This window comes from Homo sapiens, chromosome 17 (assembly GCF_000001405.40).
Source record: "Homo sapiens chromosome 17, GRCh38.p14 Primary Assembly".
Classification (NCBI taxonomy): Eukaryota; Metazoa; Chordata; class Mammalia; order Primates; family Hominidae; genus Homo; species Homo sapiens.
In genome coordinates this window covers 11,864,026-11,891,752 of record NC_000017.11, presented here as the reverse complement: position 1 = coordinate 11,891,752, position 27,727 = coordinate 11,864,026, and the positions used below count along the sequence as shown (strand labels likewise).

Here is a 27,727-nt window from a genome sequence, read left to right as displayed (position 1 = left end):
GTAAGGTACACAGCCCTCTTACTATACACTAGTGGTCTTACCTGCGAAGAATGTGATAGTTTTCCAGCCCATAGAAATTTTTTCCCAAGGCCAGGCACGGTGGCTCATGCCTGTGATCACAGTGCTTTGGGAGGCCAAGGTGGGCAGATCACCTAAGGTCGGGAGTTTGAGACCAGCCTGGCCAACATGGTGAAACGCTGTTTCTACTAAAAGCACAAAAATTAGCAGGTGTAGTGGTGCATGCCTATAATTCCAGCTACTTGGGAGGCTGAGGTGGGAGAATCGTTTGAACCTGGGAGGCAGAGTTTGCAGTGAGCCGAGATGGTGCCACTGCATTCCAGGCTGGGCGACAGAGTGGTTCTGTCTCAAAAAGAAAAACAAACAAACAAAAAAAACCAAAGAAATGTTTTCCCAAAATATCCTGCCAAGGACAATAGTAACGAGAAAACATGCTATTATCTTTTGTTAGTTTGCTCATGTGAATTATTACATAGCTATAAGCATATATACCTCTGCAGTGATAAGACGAGTCCTTGCAAGCAGCCTCCTTTCTCATGGACCCTTCCTGCAATGCAGGGAGCGTAGCCTGCTTTGGTTACATCTTCTGAACTACACATTATGTGTATAAACTCATATAAAAATCATGTGAATCAGTTTTCCATTGTTTTAAACTTAGATATTGACTATTTAAAAAAGTAAATATTTGGAATGTTACATTTTAAATGTGATATGAATAGAACAAACAATTAAAGAAAATAAAAACCAAGGCCAGGTGCAGTGGTTCATTCCTGTAATCTCAGCACTTTGGGAGGTAGAGCTGAGAGGATCACTTGAGGCCAGGAGTTCAAAACGAGCCTGGGCAAGATAGCGAGACCGTGTCTCTACAAAAAATTAAATTGTCCGGGCATGGTGACACACACCTGTAGTTCTAGCTACTTGGGAAGCTGAAGCGGGAGTTTGAGGCTGCAATGAACTATGCTGGTGCCACTGCACTCCAGCCTGGGCAACAGAGTGAGACCCTGTCTCAAAATAACCTAAGAAACAAAACAAAACAACACAAAACAACAACAACAAAAACAACAAAAAACAGAACAAAAGAAAATACAAGCCAAGATATAATTGGAACTTTTCAATTTTGGGTTATGCAGATTTCCAGCCTTTTCTCTATTTTCCTTTTGTGGCTTCAATAAGAAAAAAAATCTTAAGTCTTTCTAACACCACCAAGTATTTGAACTTTAATGGAAACCAGATAAGATTTGAGTCTCAATATCTCTTCATTTGCAAAGTAGGAAAATGTGAATTTCTTTCTCCCTTCCATGGTTCCAGGGTGTTTCTTGTTAACAAAGGCTTTGCAGTCTTTCTTCCTTATTTAGTTTTAATGATCTTTGCAAAATCTTCTGCCCATGTTCAACCCAATCCATTGTAATGGTTACCTTCACTTGATAGATTTTAGATAGGAAGAATAGTTCATTAGAGGCTGATAATGTCCCCCCAGCACCACAGAGAGCAATTTGGGAAGATTCCAGAACAGTTTCATAGAGACAGAGTGGAGAGCTTTCTCCTGGCAGTTACTATGGCTTTTCCCTAAAGCTCTCTCTTTATCAAAATAACAGTAATCAGTGAAGAATCTCTTTGTTATTTAAGTTTAAACAAAGTGATTCACAATTCAGGAAAACATGTAAAAAAAATTAAAAACCTAGGTACATTTAGCGTTTTCTTTATATTAAACTAATTTTGCTCTCTTTTTCTTTTCTGTCCTAAAACAAGAAACAAAACCCAAAAAGCTTCTTCCTCTTACTTCTGGTGTCGGAACAGCTCTGGTGCTGGGCCTGATCCCACTTCCACAGCATCCTCCAGAAGGTCCCTTCTCCTGCCCATGGGGTCTTATCATTGACTCAAACTACCCTCATATATACTCATCGGCTTTTGTAATTTTTTTGTAGGGCCCTTATCCACTGCCTTGTATCTTTGGTATTTTTCATCTTTTTACCAGGTTATGAGCACATATAGTGGGGCCCAGGCCTTACTCACTTTCTTACATTTCCCCAAACCTAGCCCATCTCTTCACATATAGTGAGCACTAAAAAATATTTGTTGGATGGATGACTATGTCCTGCCAATGCCTAAAAGAACCTAGGCAAAGTATGAGCAACGCTCTAGACCAAGGGTATCAAACTCAATGCCTTCAGGGGCCAGGTGTTTAATACCGAATAGGGAGGCATAAGGACTGTGGCAACACTGGAGGCACATGCCAATCTAGGGGGGCAGCATCCCTTGGCTCCAGCAAAATCGTGCCACGTGGGATGTGAGCTCAGTGTTGTCAATCTTCCAAACCTTCATGAGAAGCCATAATTTGGAACTTACATAACTTCTCCTCATTTTTAAATGTTGGCAACCAATTAAAGTACTTGAAAAGCCCTCCAAGGACCAAAGAAAACAGGACAATAGGCCCTTGGGCTTCCGATTTGAGACCAATGCTGTGTTATTTTTGCCTCTGCCTATCTGATGCAAGCTTCTTCTATTTTGAGAAGTGTTATTCCCCCAGCCATGTCTCTCTGCAGAATGCACACAATACAGAAAGCTAGGCCTCCCATCAATCTGCAGGAGAACCCAGTGAGGTGTCTTTCACTCTGAGGCACCCTGTGAATGTGTCTTATTAACCTTTGCCTTGCCTTTGGCTAAATCTTGAAGAAAAATTACTTTACTGCCACTTAAGTTCCATCTTAATCATATTATAAACTTCAAAGTTCAAAACCTGGCTGTTGAAGAGTTTTTGCATGTGTAAACACACACACAAACACATTTTAATATATTCCTGCTCAAAACACTTTTGAAAGCTAGGATGAATGGTTCCTGCCACGTTGGCCTATCTGGGGTTTCCATATTCTGAGAATGCCTCTTCTTTCTCTGCCAGGATGGGGAACTGTTAAATCCAACCCCAGACAAAAGCCAAGACCATGGAAATTACAGTGGCCCATTTTTCTTCAAAACAGAGAAGGCTTCTAAATGCATTGTGGTTTCGATATTTTTGAACACCCTTACTTCAGCTACTTATCATAAAGCAGTTAACCTGCTTTTAAAGATCAGGTTGGTCAATGAACAGCTGTTTTTGCAATTCTTAATATCAGTATGGTGACCCAAACTCCATCTCCCCTACTTTAAAAATGGAGCTTCAGAACCTCCTATATCAGGACACTGTTGCTGCCAAACATCTTACAACATGGTTTTGAACACAGATTGTCATGGGCCTCATTTAATTTCTTGTTTTCAGAGTCACTGTGGTAGGCTTCTGATGGGTACCTATAGTCAATTTCAACTACTCTTGGAACCAGGGGGGTGATCCTGTGGTTATTAGGCTTATCATGCCAATTTTTATGCTGTTTTAAAAGATTTTTATAATTCTTTCCTATGTTGCCTTAAACTAAATATGAGGCCAAGTATTGGGTTTCTTTTAAAAACGTAAAATATGGGACCGGGTGCAGTGGCTCACGCCTGTAATCCCAGCACTTTGGAGGCCGAGGCGGGCGGATCACGAAGTCCGGAGATCGAGACCATCCTGGCTAACACAGTGAAACCCCGTCTCTACTAAAAATACAAAAAAAATTAGCCAGGTGCGGTGGTGGGCACCTGTAGTCCCAGCTACTCGGGAGGCTGAGGCAGGAGAATGGCCTCAACCCGGGAGGCAGAGCTTGCAGTAAGCCGAGATCGCGCCTCTGCACTCCAGCCTGGGCAACAAAGCGAGACTCCCTCTCAAAAAAAAAAAACAAAAAACCATAAAATATTATAAACACAGTTCATCCAATCTGCAGAGACTCTGAGTTAAAATAATAAGATTGGGAAATGATTAAATGCCATCTTCAATCAAATGAGCCCCAGGAACTGGAGGCCTTCTGATTTCTCATCTGCTCATCACCATCCCTGCCATCTTGGTCTTCACATGGTGGTTTAGCTGAAAGCACTCCACAGATTCTGAAGTGTGTGCACTCTGTGTGTGTGTGTGTGTGTGTGTGTGTGTGACTGTGTGTATGTGAAATCTCCATGTGTCTATATACATATGGTCTCTCTCTCCTGTTTCTCTGTGTGTATATGTATGCATGTCCTCTTTGTTGGGTCAAACCAAAGAAATTTAGAAATGCTTCACTACCTCCTAATGCCTCTTCAATTGTGGTCTTTTGGTGAATGCCCTAGGGGGGAAAGATGTACTTTCAGAGATGCACTAAAAATTTATAGGTCTTTATTTTTTCATGAGTAAGATAAGTTTAGTCAGCACTTACAATTTGCTAACATCTTTGGTGGTTTTAGGAATATTTCAACAATCATAAGCAGCAGCTTTGGGGATATTAGGGTCATAAGAAAACTAATTTAAAGTTGGTGTATTATTATTGCCTGCTTTGGACTTTAATCAATACAAGTGACACATTTGATTGTCTATTATATTTTAAGCTCTTTGGGGACAGGGATCACTTCTCAGACTTCTTCGGTATCACCTTCCACACATTCAGTAAGCATAGTACCTACTGTATCATGTGTGCCTACTGAATGAGCCAAGACTTGCTGTGGTGTCCTGTTCTGTTCCAGTCAAAATTACCCGTGAGTCATGTAAGACCCAATTAAAGAGATGAGGATGGTAAGAGATGTCTGAAGGTAACATAGCTCCTCTCCTGGCTTTGATCTTACAGACTTGCCATAGCTAATGATCTTACATGGATAAGCTCTCACAGAGAGCTGCATTGGCAATATTACACTGCTTTATTATAATCAGGCAAGAAACTCCAGGTGTAAGTCACCTTGAGAGAAAACTGGTACATTGGATGGATCTTGCTGAGGTCGTTCATGATGAAGTAGAGCAGTGAGGCCCTGGCAGCTGCTGGCCGGTAGTGCTCTCGGGCCTCGTTGATTTTCACTTCAGTCACCTTGGCCTCCTGGACCTGTTGGAAAAATAAACAGCAGCCCACTGTTCCAACCAACCTGGGCTTCCTGAGAATCAACTTGGCCCCTCTGTGTGAGTAGACATGCGTCTGCTTAGGGGATGGAGTGAAGAGGGATGGGGATGATGGGTAGAAAGTTGAAAAGCTACTATGGTATTCCTTCCTAGAACTTGGATGAGAAAGGAGATGGTAAACTTCTAGTGCTTTCGGAGGGTGAGGTGTCAGCTCTTCCAGTTGGGAAGCGTGAGCCATGAAAGCCTCCACACTCCATCTCTAATGAGAAAGATTTCATGGAAATGCAAAAAAAAAAAAAAAAAAGTATGACTCAAAAATGAACTAGAATGCCAAGCAGTGGAAATCCAGGGAAAGAAACATAGTATAGTCTTCTTTTTTCTTAATTTTTGTGAAATAGTTCATATGTAATTTCACAAAGATATCTTTCAATGGAATATTCTATTTTCAGAAAATTTCTTTTTTGTTTGTTTGTTTGTTTGTTTGTTTGAGACAAAGTCTCGCTCTTGTCCCCAGGCTGGAGTCCAATGGCACGATCTTGGCTCACTGCAACCTCCGCCTCCTGGGTTCAAGCGATTCTCCTGCCTCAGCCTCCCCAGTAGCTGGGATTACAGGCGCCTGCCACCACGCCCGACTAATTTTTGTTATTTTTAGTAGAGAAGGGGTTTCACCATGTTGGCCAGGCTAGTCTCGAACTCCTGACCTCAGGTGATCCACCTGCCTCAGCCTCCCAAAGTGCTGGGATTATAGGCGTGAGCCACCGCGCCCAGCCAGAAAATTGTTTATGACAGGTAAAAATAAGAAAGGAGACCTCAGGATCAGGAAGACAGATTTCTGTTAGACTATGCTTCTAAAAGCAAACCTCAATATGCTCTGCCCTTATGCTCCAAAATAGAGGAAAGTTACTGATAATTTGTGGGAGCACCACAGGAAAAGGCAATGATCCTTATTGAAGATGTTCTCATAATAAACAATTACAAACTGCAGGAGTATTACAAAAGGGAACAATCAGAAGGCCCCTTTCCAAAACAAAACAAAACTAAACTAAAAACACCCAGAAGGATTAGCATCTCATGAACTGAGAATGACTGAACAAACTCACCATTAACAAAGTATGTTTTAGAGCAGTGGACACAAAAGGAAGCATAAAATATGGACATTATGAAAAAGAACAGGCATATCTGGAAAAGAACTAGCTACAACTTCTAAAAATAAGAGTATAGTTATTTAAATTTAAAAAGTGTTCAGTTTAAATAATAGACTGGAGTTGAAAAGAAAATCAGCAAACTAAAAGAGAAATCTCAGGAAATTGTTACAAAAGCAACTCAGAAAGAAACAGAGATGGAAAATATGTGAAAGAGGTTTATGATCTTTGATGCCCATCAGGACGTAGCCCAATTTTCCCAGCATGGTTTACACAGCCCTATACAACGGAAACTCAGGCCACCTTTCATGCCTTATTGCCAGTGACCACTTCCAGCTCCCACCCCCTCTATGTTCCAGTTACACTCAAGGGAAGCACCTCCTCCCTCTCACCCAATGTGGGTTGAGTGTTCCTCCTTTGTGTGTTCACTGATCCCTGTGCTTTCTTGGCCTCAGCCCTCAGCCCTGTTTTGTAACTGCCTGTTTACTTGTCTTTCTTCCTTAGAGGGCCAGGCCCTAAAAGCCTAGGATTATAGCAAATTTCTTGCTGTATCTCCAACTTTCATCATGGATCTTAGAATACAGTGGCCTTCAAGTAAGTGTTCATGAGATGAATAAATGAGAAAGAGAGAGAAGACAAAAAGAAACTGAACAACAAAAGGAAAAAGAAAGCTTCATACAACCCTCGGCACACAGCAGGTACTCAATAAGTGTTCATTGATTTTAAAGAAAAAGATAAAAAAAAAACAGATGAAGAGGTGGGGAGAAGAGATCAGTATGCTGCATCCCATCCTCTGACCTACTCTCTTGATGTAAGTTGGGTCTGTCTCCCCAGCTCTCTTATCCAGGGCAGTGGCAGCTCTACCGTAATTACTTTACAAACTCTCATGCCCCCAACCAGAGATACGGAGGCCATAGGTAACTGATAGTGGAACCTGGTGGTCACATCCCTGCTGTTGACCCAATGTTCGGCTGACTCTTCCTCCTTTCAATCTCATCACTCCAACCTCAACTGTCCCTCACCCCAGAGTGGGTATGACCTGGTTTATCTGTCTTACCCATCATTGCTTTTCATATTTCCTACCTTGTCTCTACCTAGAACGAAGTCTTTCATATTTGGAGAAATCCCAATAATCTGGCAATAAGCATCTTCCGTCAAAGGTATATTGTTCCTGGACACTGTTACAGATATGCTCTGTCCTGCTCAGGGCCAATATCTCCAATGCCCTTCTGATGCAAGCGCGAGACTGAGACTGCAAAAGGCCTTGTTGGAGGTTTGGTGGTATGCTGGAACAGAGCAGGGGTTGGGCCCCTTTCCCATCACACCCCGTCTTCTAGTCCTCACAGGGGGGACCGAGGGCCTTCCAAACATTATAAAATAAAGGAAGCTACACACAGTAGGGCACTGTGTCATCACTTCCCAGGATGATACAGTTTTTGAGAGCTGAGTTTCCTAGGAAGTTATTGAGGTTTTCTCATTAAGATCAGACTTGTGAGATTCTGCGGTCCGGTGGGTTTTGTCAGGATGCAATCATGCCCAAACCAGTTGGCTTTTCCAGCAGTGCGATTCCTTAGCTTCAGGGCAATTCCACACACTATCTGAGGTATCCATTTTGAGCTACCATTCCCTGCACAGAATACCAGGCCCCACAAAGGCTTAAGTGTTCCTCAACTGTGGATGGAGTTAAGACATCAAAAGTATTTTCCAGAAGGTGGGAACTACATAATACAAGATATATGGGGTAGTCACTTCAGGAGTCCTGCCTAGGTAGACTTTCTAGAAGAACCTTGCTAAGACAGAAAAGCCATGTGTTACTTTGACATTTTTCTAAAAGTCAGACTCATTGTCTAAGAGGAGAGAAAATTGTAGGAGGACCCCAGCCTAGGCTGCCTTCCCAGACTAGCCAGAGGAGTTTTACCTTTTTCTCAACTTCGGCAGCAGTCTGCTTGGTGATCTCTAGGTTTTCCACCAGCACTGTTTCTCCCAGGAAGTTCCCAGAGGCGGAGGAGAGGCGAGAGAGAAGACTGTCTTCCAACGTTTTCAGGGTAATTTTGAATCCATTCTGCTGCTTTGTGAGATCGGACTGCAAATATCAAGCAAGAGACAGTCAGGTGCAGATGCCCAGGGCATCCTGCTCTAAGGATGTGTCTGAATAGGGCGAGAGTCCCTTGCCTTAAAGATAGTAAAGTGGAGGCAGAATGGCAAAGAGCTTCAGACCATGAGCAGGAGACAAGGAGTCAAATTGGTGCCCAACTGTACAATATTCTGGGCACATGACCTTGAGCCAGTTTACCCTCTTTACTCTTCTGTAATCCCAGTCCCAACTTTTAGGATTTCTGTGCTATGCTTAATGCACAATGGGCAACACACTGCATTATCAGTGTTCACTAAACGGAGCTTATTTGTGTAACTAGAGGGTTAGGGTCCAGTTTTAGTTCTCTGGAGAGTTCTCTCTATTACCAATTTACTTTAATGAACAACTCTCCTATGGCTTACTTAAAAAAAAATCAGCAGAATCTGTCTTCCAGTTTTAAACTGTGTAAAACCATGGCAGACTGTGTAAAAGCTTCCTCGAGGCTGGAGTGGGGTGCTGGTATCCAAGTGGATCTCATCTCTTCCTCTCTTTATGCTCCATATCCTAAAGCACTAACTTCAGGCAGCTGTAGTGTCTTTGCCCTTGTACAGCCTTTGGATTCGTGGGAAGAACAACCTTCCTGTTGGAGGTTCCAACCACAGCCACCCTGACCTTTCTTGTTTCTTAAAACCACATATCTTGATCCTGCCTTAAGACCAGGATTTGCTGTTCTCTGTGCTGGGAATGCTCTATGCCCAGAGGCTTTACAATTATTTAGGAATTAGCTCAGATGCCAACTCCTCACCGAATCTTTTTCTGACCACCACTGTTTAAATTTGCCCTCTGGCTTTCCAGTATTACCCTGTTTTATTTTCTTAAAAATTCTTATCACTATCTGAATGGCATTGTTCATTTGTTTACGTTGCTGTTTTCTGTGTTCCTCCACTAGAGTGTAGATTCCATGAAGGCTGGGACATGGTTTTCTTTGTTCACTGCTGAATCCTCCATACCTCAAATCCTGCCTGTTACAGAGGTGGTGCTCCCTAGGTATCTGTTCAATGAATGAATGATTGCAGGAAGCGGAGTCCCAGGGAGCCCTGAACTCAATCTCTCATGCACTGGAATTCCACCTACCGACCCCGCCATATTGTATAATCTAATCACATTTAAAGAGAGGACAAAAAGCACGTTATCTGCTGTGGATTGAATTGTGTTGTCCTAAAAGTCCTATGTTGAAGCCTTAACTCCCCCATGTGACTATATTGGAGATGTGGCCTTTAAGGAGGTAATTAAGGTTAAATGAGGTCATCAGGGTGGAGCCATGGCTTTCTTTATGTGCAAAGAAGAGGTCATGTGAGGTCACAGTGAGAAGGCCGCTGCCTCCAAGGCAGGAAAAGAGGCCTCACCAAAAACCAACATGATCGCAGACTTCCAACTTCCAGAATTATAGGAGAACAAATATGTGTTATTTAAGCCACCCCGTCTATGGTATTTTGTTATGGCAGCCCAAGCTAAGACATGACCCTAACACTGTTGGACCTAGTTCTGTTACCCTTGTAGAATTTCATTCCGCTTAGTTCTGGCACGTGGACCTGTGTGATCAGCAGCACTCATGTTCATGCCAGGCTCTGCTCTTGGTCATAGGAGTGTCCAGTCTCCAAGCTGTTTTTTTTTTCTTTTTTTTGAGACAGAACCTCGCCCTATTTCCAGGCTGGAGTGCAGTGGCACGATCTTGGCTCACTGCAACCTCCGTCTCCCGGGTTCAAGAGATTCTCCTGCCTCAGCTTCCCGAGTAGCTAGGACTACAGGCTAGCGCCACCATGCCCAGTTAATTTTAATATTTATTTTTTAGTAGAGATGGGGTTTCACCATGTTGGCCAGGCTGGTCTCGAACTACCGACCTCATGATCCGCCCACCTTGGCCTCCCAAAGTGCTCAGATTATAGGCATGAGCCACCATGCCCGGCCTTCAAACTGTTTTTGCTTCTGTTCTTCAGCTCACCCATCCTTCTTTCCCCAGTATGGTATTCCCAGGTTGCTACATGGGGTCAGCAGTCTTCCAGAGTCTAGCAGAACCCACCTAACTCAATCCAGGAAAAACAGCCCCCCTCTGCAACCTCTCCCAGAGTGGAGTACACTGCAGGCTCTAGTGGCAGAACATTTTCTCCCTTCTGTCCTCACCTTCAGCTGCTCCAAGTCTGGCCTCTCCATGCTGACCACAGCGGCCAGCAACTGGTCCTCCAGGCCATCCCTGGTCACGGTGAAGTTGATCAGGGTGGCCTGAGCCTGCAGCTCAGGCTGGTAGTGAGGATTAGCCAGCTTGGTGTGGAGGATGAGCCGGAACTTGGGATTGTATTCACATTCTTTGTCTCCAATTTTAATGAATCTGGAACATAAAGGCTCATGTGAAGGTAAGGTGCCTTCCTGCAAAATTTGGTTGGGGTCAGAATTTGAGATTTTTTTCAAACAATATTGCTATATTCAGATGGATTCCTCCTATGTCTAGGATGAGCCCTGGGATTCTTTTTTGCACTAATGTTGGGAACAGGTGTGGAGGGGGATAGATGTTTTCCCATGGCCACCATGTTTGGTTCTGTACTGTGCAACTCTAGGAAGAGCCATGCCTGTTGTGTCAATGTAGATTAGTACATTATGAACAATTTCCAGCAGATGGCAGTGAAGTGTCTGGAGGAAGGTGAACCACCTTGCAGTTTCCACAAACGTGCTTTATACGCCAGCAATAGGGCTTACTTTTCCTCATGGCTGACATGGGAATGACATCTATGGGTGAAAATGATTAACCAAGTAAACGAGCACGACTTGAGGACAGTAAAGGCAACGATGGCCCCAGCAGTGGGTGAGGCTCCTGAGTCAAGCACCCCTTCATGATAATTACTCTGCCCTTCATACGAACCCATTGCCCGTCTCCTTCCTCTCTTTTCCTCTCCACACCACCCCCTGCTTTGCCTTGTGCTTGCTAAGCCCTCATCATGAGCCAGCACTCAAAGCAGCAGAGACTCATTAAATTGACAAGGAACCGAGTTGTCAGAATTCAGATGACTGGCTTGTATAAGATGCTCGTACTTAAAAGTCAGTCTGCTTTTTGACCGATTTCCTTCTCAAGTTTTTCCAAAATTGTGCACTGTGGCCATTTAGAAGGAAGTCAGTTGGGACACTGGCTGATGGAAGCAAAGTTTCTCCAGGAAACTTTCTCTAGGAAACAAAGGCCACTAAATAGACCTCTGCTGGAAGAAAGAAAGGTGGATGTGCTGCAGGGAGCTACTTGACATGAACTGAAGAGAGGAAATTCTAGGAAGAGCAGACCTCTTCATGATTCTAACCAGGGCCATGAACCAGCTCCCCCCGAAGGGTCAGCAACACAGCTGAGTCTTACCGTCCTTTTTTAATGACTTCTCTCCCAAGCAGGGGTCCCAGAACAGGATCAATGGACTCCTCTAGATTTTCAATCAGCACCACAGCTCCAGCTTCCAGGGCCTGCTCTATGATTTGAAGGTAGCTAGGGAAACAAGTATGAGTCCGGGAGTATGAGACTGTGGCAAGCTATGGAGTTGAGACCATTTAATGAGACAAGCGTGACCTCTAAGACATGGTGGTATAGTTGGAGGCACAGCTATTTGGAATGTTTTCAGTGGCCACATTTCTTCCCTATGTAAAGTGATATTTATGTGATTCTATACACTTTTAGAAATAGGGAGAAATTATAAAATACAAAAAAGATAATGAAAACCATAATGTGTCTTCAACGTTTTGGTGTATACTACGTATATTTGAATATATTATATTGTCAAGTTTAGCTTTGAGAGTATTAGATTCATATGGTGTTTTGTTTTATAACCTGTTTTTTTTTACAGAAAATATATTGTAATCACTTCACCATGTCATTAAACATCCTTCCATGTAATTTTAAATGACTGGGTATTAGGCCATATTGATACACCTTAATTTATCAATCAATTAACAAAGATTTAGGTTACTTTTAACTTTTCAGTGTTATGTAGAGTTTAATAAATATGTAAATAGCTTGATTTTCTTAAAGTCAATTTATAAAACTGATATAATACAACTCAAACAAAGAATAACAATAATTTATAAGACTGATATAATACAACTCAAACAAAGAATAACAGTAAAACTTTATGGAACTCAACCAAAGATCTTAAAGTTAACCTAAAAGAATACAGTGAGGCTGGCAAGGAGAAAACCAATAAAGAAGAAGAGGAGGGAGTCATTATCTAATACTACATATTTTATATATATCAACAATATAGATGTGTAGAAAGAAGGCTTAAAGGACAGCATATACCAATAAGTTAGCAGTGTTTTTGAAAGATGAATTATAGAAGTTTTTATTTCTTTGTTTTTTATGATAACTCCTACCCCGCCCTCTCATTTTTCTTTACAGTGATGATACATTACTTTTGTAATGGGAAACACCACAATAAATGTTACTAAATATAAAAGTAAATAAGAGCTGGTGTAGTATTAGATACATAGAAAAGAATAATGACCCTATTTAATAAAATAATTTAATATATAGTAAAATGACATGTCTAATTAATTGAGGAAAGAATGGAAAATTTAATATTTGGTATTGAAACAATAGCTAACCACTTGGAAAATTAGTCTGTACCACATATAATAGCTTAAACTATATTTAAATTGATTGGATTTCCATGTAAAAAGAAAACTCAAAAAACTTAAAAATGGGCCAGGCCTGGTGGCTCATGCCTGTAACCCAGAACTTTGGGAGGCCAAGGTGGGATGATTGCTTGAGGCCAGGAGATTGAGACCAGGAGTTTGAGACCAGCCTGGGCAATATGGTGAGACACCCTCTCTACAAAAATCCAAAAATTAGCAGGGCATGGTGTTGCACATCTGTAGTTCCAGCTACCTGGGAGGCTAAGGTGGAAGGACTGCTTGAACCCCGGAGGTCGAGGCTGCAGGGAGCCATGATTTCACCACTGTACTCCAGCCTGGGTGACAGAGTAAGACCCTGTCTTAAAACAAACAAACAAACAAACAAACAAAAAAACTAAAAACTAAAAATGTAGGTGAATATTTTAAAAATTCTTGGAGAGAAAAGACTCCTCTAGGCATCACTTATAGAATAAATGGCTGACAAATCTGATCAAATAAAAAACTAAAATAAAATGAACTGTAGTAGGTAAAACCTCACAAAAGTAAATTAAAAGACAAATGAGACGAACAAATTTTCATTCATATGAAGAAAGAAGACTATACATATTACATATAATGCAACATTTGTATTCAAATAATATACAACAAATCTAGAAAACCATTCAACAGGAAAGTAGTTAATGGACATGAACTAAGAATTAATTGAACATATTTATTAAGGGCCTACAATGCATTCGGCAGTGTTTTAGACACTAGGGACACTGCAATGAGCAAAAAGAACATACACCTGTCTAAAATGCATTGTTAGTCAGCTGGAAAAGAATATTTTAATTAAAGTTTCGGGAGAAGGCCAGGGTTGGATTACTATGTGACTAAAGATGCAAATAAAAATATATCATATTGGCCGGGCGCGGTGGTTCATGTCTGTAATCCCAGCACTTTGGAAGGCTGAGGCAGGTGGATTACCTGAGGTCAGGAGTTCAAGACCACTGGGCAATATGGTGAAACCCTGTCTCTACAAAAAATACAAAATATTAGCCAGGCATAGTGGCACACGCCTGTGATCCCAGCTACTCGGAAGGCTGAGGCAGGAGAATAGCTTCAACCCAGGAGGTGGAGGTTGCAGTGAGCCGAGATAGCGCCACTATATCTATCTATATATATCATAGCATGCCTTGGCATTCACTTCTCAACAAAGTTTGCTCTATAAGATGGATGCATTTATAATATTTAATGTTTGACTTGGTTAACTATTATTTTTAACATCATGTGTTCAATTTGAACAACCCCGAGTGATCTGGACCTTAGTGCGTGCATGCTTGGGACACGTGGCCAGAGCAACAAAGCTCACTTTGAGTGGCTGTTTGCTGGAGTGGATAAATCTTAGGTTTCTAAGTGAGGATGACCCAGCTTCAAATACTGCCACCATTACTTTTTTTTTTTTTTTTTTTTTTTTTTTTTTAGACAGAGTTTTCGTTCTTGTCCCCCAGGCTGGAGTACAATGGCACGATCTCGGCTCACTGCAACCTCCACCTCCTGGGTTCAAGAGATTCTCCTGCCTCAGCTTCCTGAGTAGCTGGGATTACAGGCGTCTGCTACCACGCCCAGCTAATTTTTGTATTTTTAGTAGAGATGGGATTTCACCATGTTGGCCAGGCTGATCTTGAACTCCTGACCTCAAATGATCTGCTCGCCTCGGCCTCCCAAAGTGCTATGATTACAGGCTCGAGCCACTGCGCCCAGCTGCCTCCATTACTTTTTAAACATATTTATTAATTAATATATTTAAATTGTGGTAAAATATATGTAACATATATTGTGTGCCGTCTTAATGTGTACAGTTCCATGGCTTTAAGTACACTGTTGTGCATCCATCACCATCATCCATTCACAGAACTGTTCTTGAAAAACCAAAACTGGCCGGGTGCAGTGGCTCACTCCCAGCACTTTGGGAGGCTGAGGCAGGCAGATCACAAGGTCAGGAGTGCGAGACCAGCCTGGCCAACATAGTGAAACCCGGTCTCTACTAAAAATACAAAAAAAAGTTAGCCGGGTGTGGTGGTGGGCGCCTGTAGTCCCAGCTACTCAGGAGGCTGAACCAGGAGAATCGCTTGCTTGAACCCGGGAGGTGGAAGTTGCAGTGAGCTGAGATCGCACCACTGCACTCCAGCCTGGGTGACAGAGTGAGACTCCGTCTCAAAAAACAAACAAACAAACAAACAAAAAAAACAAAACCTGAAACTCTGTACCTGTGAAACACTTAACTCTTCATTCCCCTCTCCCTCGCACTCCCTGGCAAACACCATTCGACTTTCTGTCTCAATGAATTTGGCTACCCTGGGAACCTTGGATGAGAGGAATCATACCACATTTGTCTTTTTGTCACCAGCTTATTTTACTCTGCATAACACTTTAAAGATTCATCCATGTTGTGGCATGTGTCAGAATTTTTTCCCTTTTTTTTAACTTCAATTTTATTTTATTTAAATTGTTTTCTTTGAAAACATTTTTTACTTTTAATTTTTATGGGTACATGGGTGTATATATTTATGGGGTACATAAGCTATTTTGATACAGGGATGCTATGCATAATAATCACGTTATGGAAAATGGGGTATCCATGTCCTTAAGCATTTCTCCTTTGTATCACAATCTAATTATGCTCTTTTAAGAACTGTTTTCCTTTTAAGGCAATAATATTCCATTGCATGTGTACATCACATTTTGTTTATCCATTTATCTGGGTTCTCTTCACCTTTTGTCTATTATGAATAATGCTGCTATAAACACGAGTGCCAAATTTCCATCACTTTTAAAATGGCGAACTCCCCAGGGAAATTACTTAACTTCTGTGAACCTCTGCTTCCTCGGACGTGAAATGGAACCAATAACCTTACTGGTTATTAACCAGTTGATTACTAACCTTATTAACTGTGTGGATTAAGGACGGCATTTGAGATAAAACCTCTAACACCAAGACTGATGCATATCAACCTCCTAATGAATGATGTCTGCCTCACTTCCTCTTCCCCATTGCCCCATCCTGTTTCCCCAGGTGTCCTGATGACATAGAACAGGATGAGTACTGAAACCACAAGGCTAAAATGAAGGGAGGCATGAGGGATGTCAAGGCCCAAGCCACTGAAGCCTGGTGGGTGCTGGCCAGACATTCTCAGTGCCATTCAAGTCCCTTCACGTGGTAACTTTCCCACAGGTAAGTACGAAGCCATATGGCAGGTACCAAGGGCTCTGAAGGTTTCATAACTAACTCAGCTGCTTCATGGGACCTACTGAAATGTTCAACTGTGCCTCAGGAGGAGAGTTTTGTTCTTTGTATGTGGCTCTAGGGCAGAGGTAGAAATAATGGGTAGAGGAGAGATAAGGGAGGCAGCTTTAGCTAAGGGTGAGGAAAACTTTATAAAGCACAGAGCTATGTGACAATGGGATATGAAGTTTGGGGAGGAAATGTTTAAGGGACAATGAGAGGATGAGCTCAAGGGATGGTGAAGAAAGGACCCCAGAATGGGTCGAGAGGTTGTGGTACATAATTTCTCATGTGGATAAAAAGCAAAGACTTAGTACCCAGGCATCTTTCATTGAGATGTTTGCTAAAATGGACGGAGAAACGTGAGAAGCCTGATGGAGAGACCAGGAGTGTACAAACCATTCACTGGGCTTAAAATCTGCTCATGATCTATACATTTTCCTGCACAAATGGCTAAAGTGGGAACTTCTGTGCTCAACCACTTACCCTTTCTGACCAATCTGCGTGACCCGGAGATCTTCACCATATTTATTCTTGATCCATTTGATGCCTTGTAGCTGAGGGTCAACCATGAGTGGCCAGCGCTCACAGTTGATGAGAATGGTGGCATTCTCCACGGACATGCGGTCGGCTGGGAGGCCCTCGTTCTGCCAGGCAGCCACGTCAGCATCATCCATCAGCATCCTCAGGGGATCCAGGGCTGGGGTGACTGGAATGGGAGTCTGGTGAAGAAGAAACACCACCCCACGCTCAGAACAGAAGCAGACATTCTCAGCTGGGATGAATGCAGTTACTCACCAAATGACACAACTCCTTTAAAAGCAAGATCAACATCCCACTGAAGAATGCCTTTCTGGCTGTGTGATTATTTCTGGAAGCAGGTTCTATTAAAGTCCTGATAGCTTTTTTTTTTCCCCTCCATGGATGAATAACTGCAGAAATTCAACTCGTGTGACTGATTCTTTGTTTTTCGGTATCTTTACCTAAGTCAAGTTTCTACTATATTATCTGTATTTTAATCTACGACCTCCTACACACTCTCACCCATGTTAACAGTGTTATTTCTCTGCTATATGTCTGTGTTTCTTGTGCACGCTCCATGAACCAGCACCAGGTCCCATGCCTAGTGGGTTTGCTCCTGTCTGTACCAACCGGCACAAACCACTCTTTCCTCTCCTCTGTTTCACCAGCTTGCAAGAGGCTGGACGGGTTTTCTTTTTCTCTTCCCCAAACACCCCATTCACTTGCAGGACTCTTGCAAACCTGCCTGCTGGTGCCTGTGGGGAAGCTGCCGAGTATTTATCAGTCTGAGAACTTGCCTGTGGCCTCTCTTAGGCCCCTTCAGGGCTCCTGTGTGTGCCCTAGACACTGCCTTTTCTTCTTTGTTAGCCTTTCTCTGCTCACTCAGTTCTTTTTTTTTTTTTTTGAGATGGAATCTTGCTCTGTCACACAGGCTGGAGTGCAATGGCGTCATCTCAGCTCCATGCAAACTCCACCTCCCGGGTTCAAGTGATTCTCCTGCCTCAGCCTCCCAGGTGGCTGGGATTACAGGTGCCTGCCACCACACCCAGCTAATTTTTGTGTTTTTAGTAGAGACGAGGTTTCACCATGTTGGACAGGCTGGTCTCGAACTCCTGACCTCAGGCGATCCACCTGCTTCGGCCTCCCAAAATACTGGGATTACAGGCGTGACCCACCACGCCGGGCTCACTTAATTTTTTTTACAGGCAATCTTTTTCATTGATGACCCATATATATTTTTTTAAATTAAGGTAACATTGATATGAAATAAATTAATCATTTTAAAGTGCACAATTCAGTGGCATTTAGTCTATGCATAACATTATGCAGCCATCGGCTCTACCCCCAAAACATTTCATCACCCCCAAATCCCATACTCATTCAACAGCCCCCGCAATTTCTGTCTACCCCCAGCTCGTGGAAACTATGAATATGTTTTCTGTCCCCTTGGATTTTCTTATTCTGGATATTTTACTATAAATGAATCCTACAATATGTGACCTTTTGTGTCTGGTTACTTTCACTTAGCATAATGCTTTCGAGGTTTAGACAAATACCCTTTTAACTCCTTCATCTCACTCCTCTCTGAAGTTTGTTCTGCCCAATTATCCCAGGGAAACCTCTCCAAACCATCTCCCATCCTCTTAATTGTATCTAACAAGGGCACAAATGGCCAGTACTACAGTATCCAGCAAACCTCTGAAGGGAAATCAGCCCCTTGGGGATTCTTATCTGGGACCAGAATTGTGTTCCAATATATTTTTTCCCTTTGTAATCTCATGCATTCTATTTGACGTGTCAAAATCATTATTCTGAGAAAGAATCCGTAGGTCTCACCAGACTGCCAAAGACGTCCATGACACAAAAAAGCTTAAGAATCCAAACAAAGCCAGAAAAATCCTCACTAAGCTGCTACTGAGCTCTTCTTCTTCATTCACTCAGTTAATGATGGTTCCTTCAACAATTTCCTTTTTCCAAAAGTGTTTAGGATGAGTCAAACAGCTGCTTTATTTTTTGTTTATTTGCTAGCATTTTAAAAACTACGGTTCAGCTAATTGTCAGGTGAGCAGGGTTTTATGAGCTGATCTGAGAAAACAATCATCACTACAGAAAGAGTTTTTGTTCTAAGGTTCTACTTACAAATAGATCTGGAATACAGCTTTTACCTTATGTTGTGAAATTTGGGGCTGACTTTCACCCTCACTGACTGTTTTTGTTTGTTTGTTTTTTGAGACGGAGTCTCGCTCTGTCGCCCAGGCTGGAGTGCAGTGGTGCTATCTTGGCTCACTGCAAGCTTCGCCTCCCGGGTTCACGCCATTCTCCTGCCTCAGCCTCCCGAGTAGCTGGGATTACAGGCGCCCGCCACCATGCCCGGCTAATTTTTTGTATTTTTAGTAGAGACGTGGTTTCACTGTGTTAGCCAAGATGGTCTCGATCTCCTGACCTCGTGATCCGCCCGCCTCAACCTCCCAAAGTGCTGGGATTACAGGCGTGAGCCACCGCGCCCGGCCCACCTTCGCTGACTTCTATGAGCCTAATCTCCTCAAGTGGACTGGGAACTTGCCAAAGGTATCCCGGTCTTGAACGTTTTGTGTGCCTCCTGTATAGTGGAGTGGTAGGACACACTAAATACACAGGAAGTATTTGTGGGTTGCTAGAAGTGATGCGAAAGTGCCAAGAAAATATTAGAACTTCTGATGCTCGCGTCCAAGTATAGCTTTGAATCCCCTTTAATGGGAAACCAGTATTTCTCCATTTAGTTACATTGCAGGGGGTGGGGGGCGGGTGATGTAAAGGGATGGGTTGGGAGTAACATCCACCTAGCCACACGAGGAGGACAAGCTGAACTGCCCAAATAAGAAGCATGTGAGCAGCTGTTCATGGGATTATGCAGGACGGAAGCCGACGAAGGATATCTGTGAGTCACTGGCACAAGCTGTGTAGCTTTAGGGCCCAGTAACAAGGTGCAATGTAGGATCTGGGAAATGGAACGTCCCCTGACTGCTCCTATGAAGTCTGGCTCTGGAGTGGGGAGATCAGAGACGAAAATGGTTCTTTTTCTATCTCTCAGGTTTCACAGCTTTAAGGATTGCTAGGAGACAGCCCGCGGGGAAGAGGACTAGTGTTCCCATGGAGGACTACATTCAGAGGAGAGGTGCTGCCCCCAGGTGGCCTGGAGGGCAGTGGGCAGCAATGCAAGGCAGTGTGGAAGGACACGGGTACGCAGGTTTCACACCTGGTGCTCAGGGGGTGGTGGGGATGAGTGTGCAGGAGGACACCAGAGGATGCGAATTATGACCGTGATGTCTTCCCATTGGTGCCCAGAGGCTGATGTGGTCGGGAGAAATTCAGGCCATACGTACTTTCAGCTGGCTCAGGTAGGGCCTCCAAGTTCTGTCCAGGAGGCTCTGCCGGTATTTCTTTGTGAAGAAGCCAAGGTAGGAAATGAAAGCCGTTATAAGTAAAATGTCTCCACATAACGTCCTTTCCTGCTGTTTGAAGTTCTGCACGGCATCTGCCCACCTCACGTTTTCAGAAGCGAGTCCTCCAACCTACCATTTCAAAAGCCAGAGAGGAGAGGAGGCGTGTTACACAGTAGGTGATAGAGCCGTGATTCCATCATGGAGAGCGCCCGCTGCACGCTTCATAGCGGGAAGAGGCAGAATATCACTTATATGGCCCTTTCCGTTAATGGGGATTTGTGCTGCCTGTAGCAAAGCTTTCAGTACACAAGCCCCCATTCTGTGTCATGCATCACATGAACCATGGAAAGATGACAGGGTTTGACTCTGCTCTTTCTGTGTGTGGAGACTGATACCACTTAATCAAAGGGTTGTTGAGAGGATGAAATATAATCATGTATGTTTATTATTTAGCACAATACCTGGTCTGTGGAACATGTTAGAAAATTAGCCACTTCTTTCTCCTTTCCAAATGCTGGGGAAATGAAAATAAACAAAATCAAGTCCATGCACCATAAATAATTCACAGCGGGCGAGGAGACAGATGTGCTAATTGAGACACAGAGAAGCATGGTAAGGTCATGGGTGTGTACAAAGTCCTGACCCCCCAGCCCTCTTTGGGTTGGTACAGTCTCCCTGGGAGGAGAGCCATTCTTTCTACAGAGGACTGTTAGTGGTATGGCGGAGCTTTGCTTCTGCGTTAGGACTCACCCTTTATTTTTTCTTCTAATGATAACATCATGGAACGTCACAGTCTGGACAGACCTTAGAGATTTGCCAACCCAGTCATTCACATGCCTGTTTTCAGATTACACAAAGGTCAGAAAGTCCAAATATCTCACCAGAATCTCTAGGTCGGTAGAGACAGGGGTGGCTTCAGAGCCTGAACATCCTGACTCCTAGAGCAGAGTGCTACACTGCCTCCCATGAGCACTGACTCAGAAAGTGCTCCAGCCAGGCAGAGAAGGCTGCGCTAAGTTCAGAAACCAAGCAGGGAGGTGAATGGAAGGCAGGCCAGCTAGGAGATCTGGAGGACTTCTTGCACATTGGCAAGAGTTGCTATCTCTAAACTGAACTGTTCAGCTAAACGGATCATCTCAAAGCCACACAGAAGCTGGTCCAGTGACAACTGCACAGACACACATTTGGGTATGGCAGGTCTTCATTACATCACAGCTCCATTCAGTGATCGCTATGACTCACTGTTCCCCAGATTAAAACATCTGGCTCTGCTGTGTAATTCAGTGGTGGCTGGAATAAATGTCAACAGGTGTGGAATGTACTTCCCTTCACTGGTGAGGAGGGTGCTGTAAAGTCTCTAGCTTGAAGAGAAATCATATCCATTTGACTTGCTTTGCAGAGTCTTAGCTGATATATGGGATGAGAAATACAAGCCATAGGAGATTTAAAAGGCTGTAAATTCTTTGACATTCCTGTCATTAAGAGTTGCTGTCTGTGCTCTCTGCCCTTTAATCTGTGACTGCTTTGACCTATAGAGTACAGCGGAAGTGCTGTTGTGCCAGTTTTCAGTCCCAGGCCTTCAGATACTGGGACTTTCCACTTCCTGCCTCTTGGGACACTTGTCCTTGATGTCCTGAGTTACTGTGTAAGACGTCCGACTACCCTGCTAGAGGGAATGCGTGGAAATGCCCTGAGGAAGGGAGAGAGGACCAGCTGCACCCTCCCTTCCAATCATCACTGCCAAGATGCCCAGCATGTGAAGGAAGTCATCTCGGGGGCCTCCAGCCCGGCCACCAGCTGAATGTACCAAGTGACCCCAGTCATGGCCACATGGAGCAGAAAACCTGGCCAGCTGAGCCCTGCCCTCAACAAACTTGTGAGATATTATGAAATGGTTATTGTACAAAATCACTAAGCTTTGGAGTAATTTTTTTATGCAGAAACAAACACCCATAACACAAGCACCGCTGCCCTGACCTGCAGACTTGATTTCCCAGGAAGGCCGGAGCATGTGTGTATATGTGTGTCTGTGTGTGTTTTCTGAAATACTCAGGGTCAGTAGGTCTCATTCTTTTCTGTTTCTATCTCAGTTCCTAATCTTGGCCACACCCTTATAATGAAATGTTACATAGATAGGAATGTCATGGTTTGCCTATAAAATGCTGGCTTTGTCTTGTAATGTTTCCTCTGGTCAATACACATGAATATAAGTGTGTTACCATTTTGCATGAGCTGCCTGATAGATCCAGTGCTCCCATCCTCCCAACCATGTCTATAAGAAAACTCCTTTGACCAGATTAGGGTTTATGCATCCACATTTTCCTCAGGACTCAATTCCTGCATTTCAGCACATTTTAATACTTCCCTCCAAGTCAAAGCGCTGCTGTGCTGTGCTCATCTATCTTGCACCTCCACGGCATTTGACAAGCCTGCTAATATAATTACAGCTCGGGCTGCTGTGGCTTACACTCACCAGGCGGTTGGCAAGGGAGATGGTGACTGCGGTCACTTCGGCTTCTTGCTGACATTTGAGTTTGTCTGCTGTTGCTTTCTCAAACCTGGCTGTGAGCTTTGCCAGGTTTTCATTAAGGTGCTGTTTAGGAAGGAATACAAGGACCATCAGTCATTTCGGCCCATGTAACTACCAGTGCTCATTAGATGAGGGTTCACATGGAGGTGGTTCTGAAGGAAGCACTCTGCGGGGGCATTCCTATGGGACCAGGGAAAGCAGGGCAGAGAACGAAATGAAAGCACATTCGGGGAAGATCTCAGGCGGGTCCTAGCAAGGACTTCATCTTGGTCCTGCAGTGGGAGGGTGGAGTGGACATCCAGAAATGTCCTACTCCAAGATGAGAGAGCTGAGCTTCATACCCCACCACCGCAGTCATCGAGGTGTTGAACGCTACGAGGTGTCAGGGATGTGGATGGGGGGAAGGGTGCATACATTCTGCCTCTGCTTGAGTTGGAGAAAAATGGGTTCCAGTAGCCTGACAAAATGGTGCAGGTGCTGCTATTAGAAGCAAGAACACATCAAAACTGGGGTTAGCATGAAAAAGGTCAACAGCAACCCACGTGGGCCAGGGAGGACAACTGCCAGTATCTGCTGCAGCTAGTCTGGGGCTGGGCTGTCCGGAATCTAAGTCCTCCACTGGCTCTAAGGTCCTAGAGTACAAGGTAACTTTTACTTAACCTCATCTAGTCTCTCCCATTAACACAATGTATAGGAACATAAAAAAGACATAATTTCAATATTTAAAAATGTATTAAGAATTTAAAATTGAAGTACGTAGCTTTTGTTGTCCTCTGAGTACATATTTTTACACACAAAGATACATGGACACACAGCAGATACCTCCAAATACATCTCAGGTCTGTGCAATAACTGGGGTTCAGGCTGCTTTGTTGGTCATTACTAAGGCACAAGAGAAATCAATGTAGGGCCAAGCTTAAACATCCAAGCAGTTTAAAAAGCAGGTGGTGGGCCATCCAATTAAGGATGGCAGACTGGCCATGCTCATTTACCTCCTACACTTCCCAAGACTTCTCTAAAATGATTATGAAGCAATTAAAATAGTCATAAGCCCATTACACCAAGCAAATTGGTGAGGGCCATTTGGAGGGTGAGGGAGTCCAACAGATTTATGGAGGACCACACTGTTGAAGAAGTGGAGACCGCTGGAGCAGGGCAGAGGACGTGACAACTTAGAGTTAGCTGTTGTTCACCAAAGGGGAAACTGATCAGCACACAGAGCCCTATACAAACTGGAGATCTCAGAAATGTCAGGTGTGATTGAAGGGGAAGATGAAAATATGAAGATTAATTGGAAGCCTATTGATTCTTGACCTCATATCTCCATCCACATGCACAGTATGCAATGCCACCAGTCACCTATGTCACCATGTAAGAAAGTCAATAGAGGCAGAGAATAAAGGTGCCACATCTTGGCATAACTCATCAGATTTTGAAAACAAATTCTACCAGTCAACCAGCTCTGCCCTTGCCTGCAGACCTAGAATTAGCTTTTGATCGCTACTCTTGTAAACATGAAAGGACAAGAAGAGATTTAATGCAGGCTTAGATTAAGTTAAACAAGATGAAAAAAATGACCTAGGAAGAAGAGGCAGAATTTTGGTAACAACAAAAACAGCAACTGCAACAACAAAGTTAAAACTTTCACAGTTTCTCAGACAGATTCAAGATGATTCATCCACAAAACAAGAACAGGATGTTATTAAAAGGAAGAGAGAATAACAAAAAAAAACTCTTGTGGAAATCACTATTGTTGTTAATATAAAATATAACAAAATCAAGGGAAAGGTTAAAAGGAGAATTTGAGGAAATTTCCTGAAAAGCATAAGAAAACAAACAGTAACAAAAAGATGGAAGAAAACAGAGGACTGATCTAGGAGGTTCAACATCTGACAGATATGCTTTCCAGAAAATAAGAGTAAACAGTAAACAGAAGGGAATTTACCAAAGAAATAATACAAAATAATTTTCTAGAGCTGAAGAAAATGAATCTTTACATGCCAAACACCATATAAAAAAAGAATGGAGAGGAGCCAAGATGGCTGAATAGGAACAGCTCTGGTCTCCAGCTCCCAGCGTTAGCGACGCAGAAGACGGGTGATTTCTGCATTTCCATCTGAGGTACCAGGTTCATCTCACTAGGAAGTGCCAGAGAGTGGGCACAGGTCAGTGGGTGCAGCGCACCATGCGCGAGCTGAAGCAGGGCGAGGCATTGCCTCGCTCGGGAAGCACAAGGGGTCAGGGAGTTCCCTTTCCTAGTCAAAGAAACGGGTGACAGATGGCACCTGGAAAATCGGGTCACTCCCACCCGAATACTGCCCTTTTCCGATGGCCTTAAAAAACAGTGCACCAGGAGATTATATCCTGCACCTGGCTCGGAGGGTCCTATGCCCACAGAATCTCGCTGATTGCTAGCACAGCAGTCTGAGATCAAACTGCAAGGCGGCAGCGAGGCTGGGGGAGGGGCGCCCGCCATTGCCCAGGCTTGCTTAGGTAAACAAAGCAGCTGGAAAGCTCCAACTGGGTGGAGCCCACCACAGCTCAAGGAGGCCTGCCTGCCTCTGTAGGCTCCACCTCTGGGGGCAGGGCACAGACAAACAAAAAGACAGCAGTAACCTCTGCAGACTTAAATGTCTCTGTCTGACAGCTTTGAAGAGAGCAGTGGTTCTCCCAGCATGCAGCTGGAGATCTGAGAACGGGCAGACTGCCTCCTCAAGTGGGTCCCTGACCCCTGACCCCTGAGCAGCCTAACTGGGAGGCACCCCCCAGTAGGGGCAGACTGACACCTCACACGGCCGGGTACTCCTCTGAGAAAAAACTTCCAGAGGAACAATCAGACAGCAGCATTCGCGGTTCAAGAAAAACCACTGTTCTGCAGACACCGCTGCTGATACCCAGGCAAACAGGGTCTGGAGTGGACCTCCAGCAAACTCCAACAGACCTGCAGCTGAGGGTCCTGTCTGTTAGAAGGAAAACTAACAAACAGAAAGGACATCCACACCAAAAACCCATCTGTACATCACCATCATCAAAGACCAAAAGTAGACAAAACCACAAAGATGGGGAAAAAACAGAGCAGAAAAACTGGAAACTCTAAAAAGCAGAGCACCTCTCCTCCTCCAAAGGATCACAGTTCCTCACCAGCAATAGAACAAAGCTGGACGGAGAATGACTTTGACGAGTTGAGAGAAGAAGGCTTCAGACGATCAAACTACGAGCTACAGGAGGAAATTCAAACCAAAGGCAAAGAAGTTAAAAACTTTGAAACAAATTTAGACGAATGTATAACTAGAATAACCAATACAGAGAAGTGCTTAAAGGAGCTGATGGAGCTGAAAGCCAAGGCACGAGAACTACATGAAGAATGCAGAAGCCTCAGGAGCCAATGTGATCAACTGGAAGAAAGGGTATCAGTGATGGAAGATGAAATGAATGAAATGAAGTGAGAACGGAAGTTTAGAGAAAAAAGAATAAAAAGAAACGAACACAGCCTCCAAGAAATATGGGACTATGTGAAAAGACCAAATCTACGTCTGATTGGTGTACCTGAAAGTGACGGGGAGAATGGAACCAAGTTGGAAAACACTCTGCAGGATATTATCCAGGAGAACTTCCCCAATCTAGCAAGGCAGGCCAACATTCAGATTCAGGAAATACAGAGAACGCCACAAAGATACGCCTCGAGAAGAGCAGCTCCAAGACACATAATTGTCAGATTCACGAAAGTTGAAATGAAGGAAAAAATGTTAAGGGCAGCCAGAGAGAAAGGTCGGGTTACCCACAAAGGGAAGCCCATCAGACTAACAGCGGATCTCTCGGCAGAAACTCTACAAGCCAGAAGAGAGTGGGGGCCAATATTCAACATTCTTAAAGAAAAGAATTTTCAACCCAGAATTTCATATCCAGCCAAACTAAGCTTCATAAGTGAAGGAGAAATAAAATACTTTACAGATAAGCAAAGCTGAGATTTTGTCACCACCAGGCCTGCCCTAAAAGAGCTCCTGAAGGAAGCACTAAACATGGAAAGGAACAACCGGTACCAGCTGCTGCAAAATCATGCCAAAATATAAAGACCATTGAGACTAGGAAGAAACTGCATCAACTAACGAGCAAAATAACCAGCTAACATCATAATGACAGGTTCAAATTCACACATAACAATATTAACTTTAAATGTAAATGGACTAAATGCTCCAATTAAAAGACACAGACTGGCAAATTGGATAAAGAGTCAAGACCTATCAGTGTGTTGTATTCAGGAAACCCATCTCACATGCAGAGACACACATAGGCTCAAAATAAAAGGATGGAGGAAGATCCACCAAGCAAATGGAAAACAAAAAAAGGCAGGGGTTGTAATCCTAGTCTCTGATAAAACAGACTTTAAACCAACAAAGATCAAAAGAGACAAAGAAGGCCATTACATAATGGTAAAGGGATAAATTCAACAAGAAGAGCTAACTATCCTAAATATATATGCACCCAAAACAGGAGCACCCAGATTCATAAAGCAAGTCCTGAGTGACCTACAAAGAGACTTAGACTCCCACACATTAATAATGAGAGACTTTAACACCCCACTGTCAACATTAGACAGATCAGCGAGACAGAAAGTCAACAAGGATACCCAGGAATTGAACTCAGCTCTGCACCAAGTGGACCTAATAGACATCTACAGAACTCTCCACCCCAAATCAACAGAATATACATTTTTTTCAGCACCACACCACACCTATTCCAAAATTGACCACATAGTTGGAAGTAAAGCTCTCCTCAGCAAATGTAAAAGAACAGAAATTATAACAAACTATCTCTCAGACCATAGTGCAGTCAAACTAGAACTCAGGATTAAGAAACTCACTCAAAACCGCTCAACTATATGGAAACTGAACAACCTGCTCCTGAATGACTACTGGGTACATAACGAAATGAAGGCAGAAATAAAGATGTTCTTTGAAACCAATGAGAATAAAGACACAACATACCAGAATCTCTGGGACACATTCAAAGCAGTGTGTAGAGGGAAATTTATAGCACTAAATGCCCACAAGAGAAAGCAGGAAAGATCCAAAATTGACACCCTAACATCACAATTAAAAGAACTAGAAAAGCAAGAGCAAACACATTTAAAAGCTAGCAGAAGGCAAGAAATAACTAAAATCAGAGCAGAA

The 27,727-nt window shown here is 43.4% G+C and overlaps 1 protein-coding gene and 1 long non-coding RNA gene across 7 annotated transcripts in view; one reads left to right on the top strand and one right to left on the bottom strand.

Annotated features, from left to right (window-relative positions):
* The window catches only part of DNAH9 (dynein axonemal heavy chain 9), a 371,279-nt gene that overhangs the window by 77,996 nt on the left and 265,556 nt on the right, over positions 1 to 27,727 (bottom strand). For 4 of the 6 annotated variants that reach the window (XM_011523703.3, NM_001372.4, XM_017024292.3 and 1 more), the window contains 7 exons: positions 22,500 to 22,619; positions 19,967 to 20,155; positions 16,569 to 16,804; positions 11,553 to 11,675; positions 10,340 to 10,544; positions 8,003 to 8,167; positions 4,788 to 4,928 (listed from right to left, as the gene is read on the bottom strand). In XM_011523703.3, the coding sequence (XP_011522005.1) occupies positions 4,788 to 4,928; positions 8,003 to 8,167; positions 10,340 to 10,544; positions 11,553 to 11,675; positions 16,569 to 16,804; positions 19,967 to 20,155; positions 22,500 to 22,619 (1,179 nt within the window). Of the gene's footprint in view, positions 1 to 4,787; positions 4,929 to 8,002; positions 8,168 to 8,580; positions 8,852 to 10,339; positions 10,545 to 11,552; positions 11,676 to 16,568; positions 16,805 to 19,966; positions 20,156 to 20,487; positions 20,541 to 22,499; positions 22,620 to 27,727 lie in introns of those variants that run through there. The other 2 variants (NM_004662.2, XM_017024294.2) reach the window with 2 other exon arrangements.
* Positions 6,558 to 17,028, top strand: LOC101928350 (uncharacterized). Its single transcript, NR_188181.1, has 3 exons — positions 6,558 to 6,782; positions 15,873 to 16,031; positions 16,640 to 17,028. It is a non-coding gene; the product is annotated as an uncharacterized LOC101928350 (long non-coding RNA).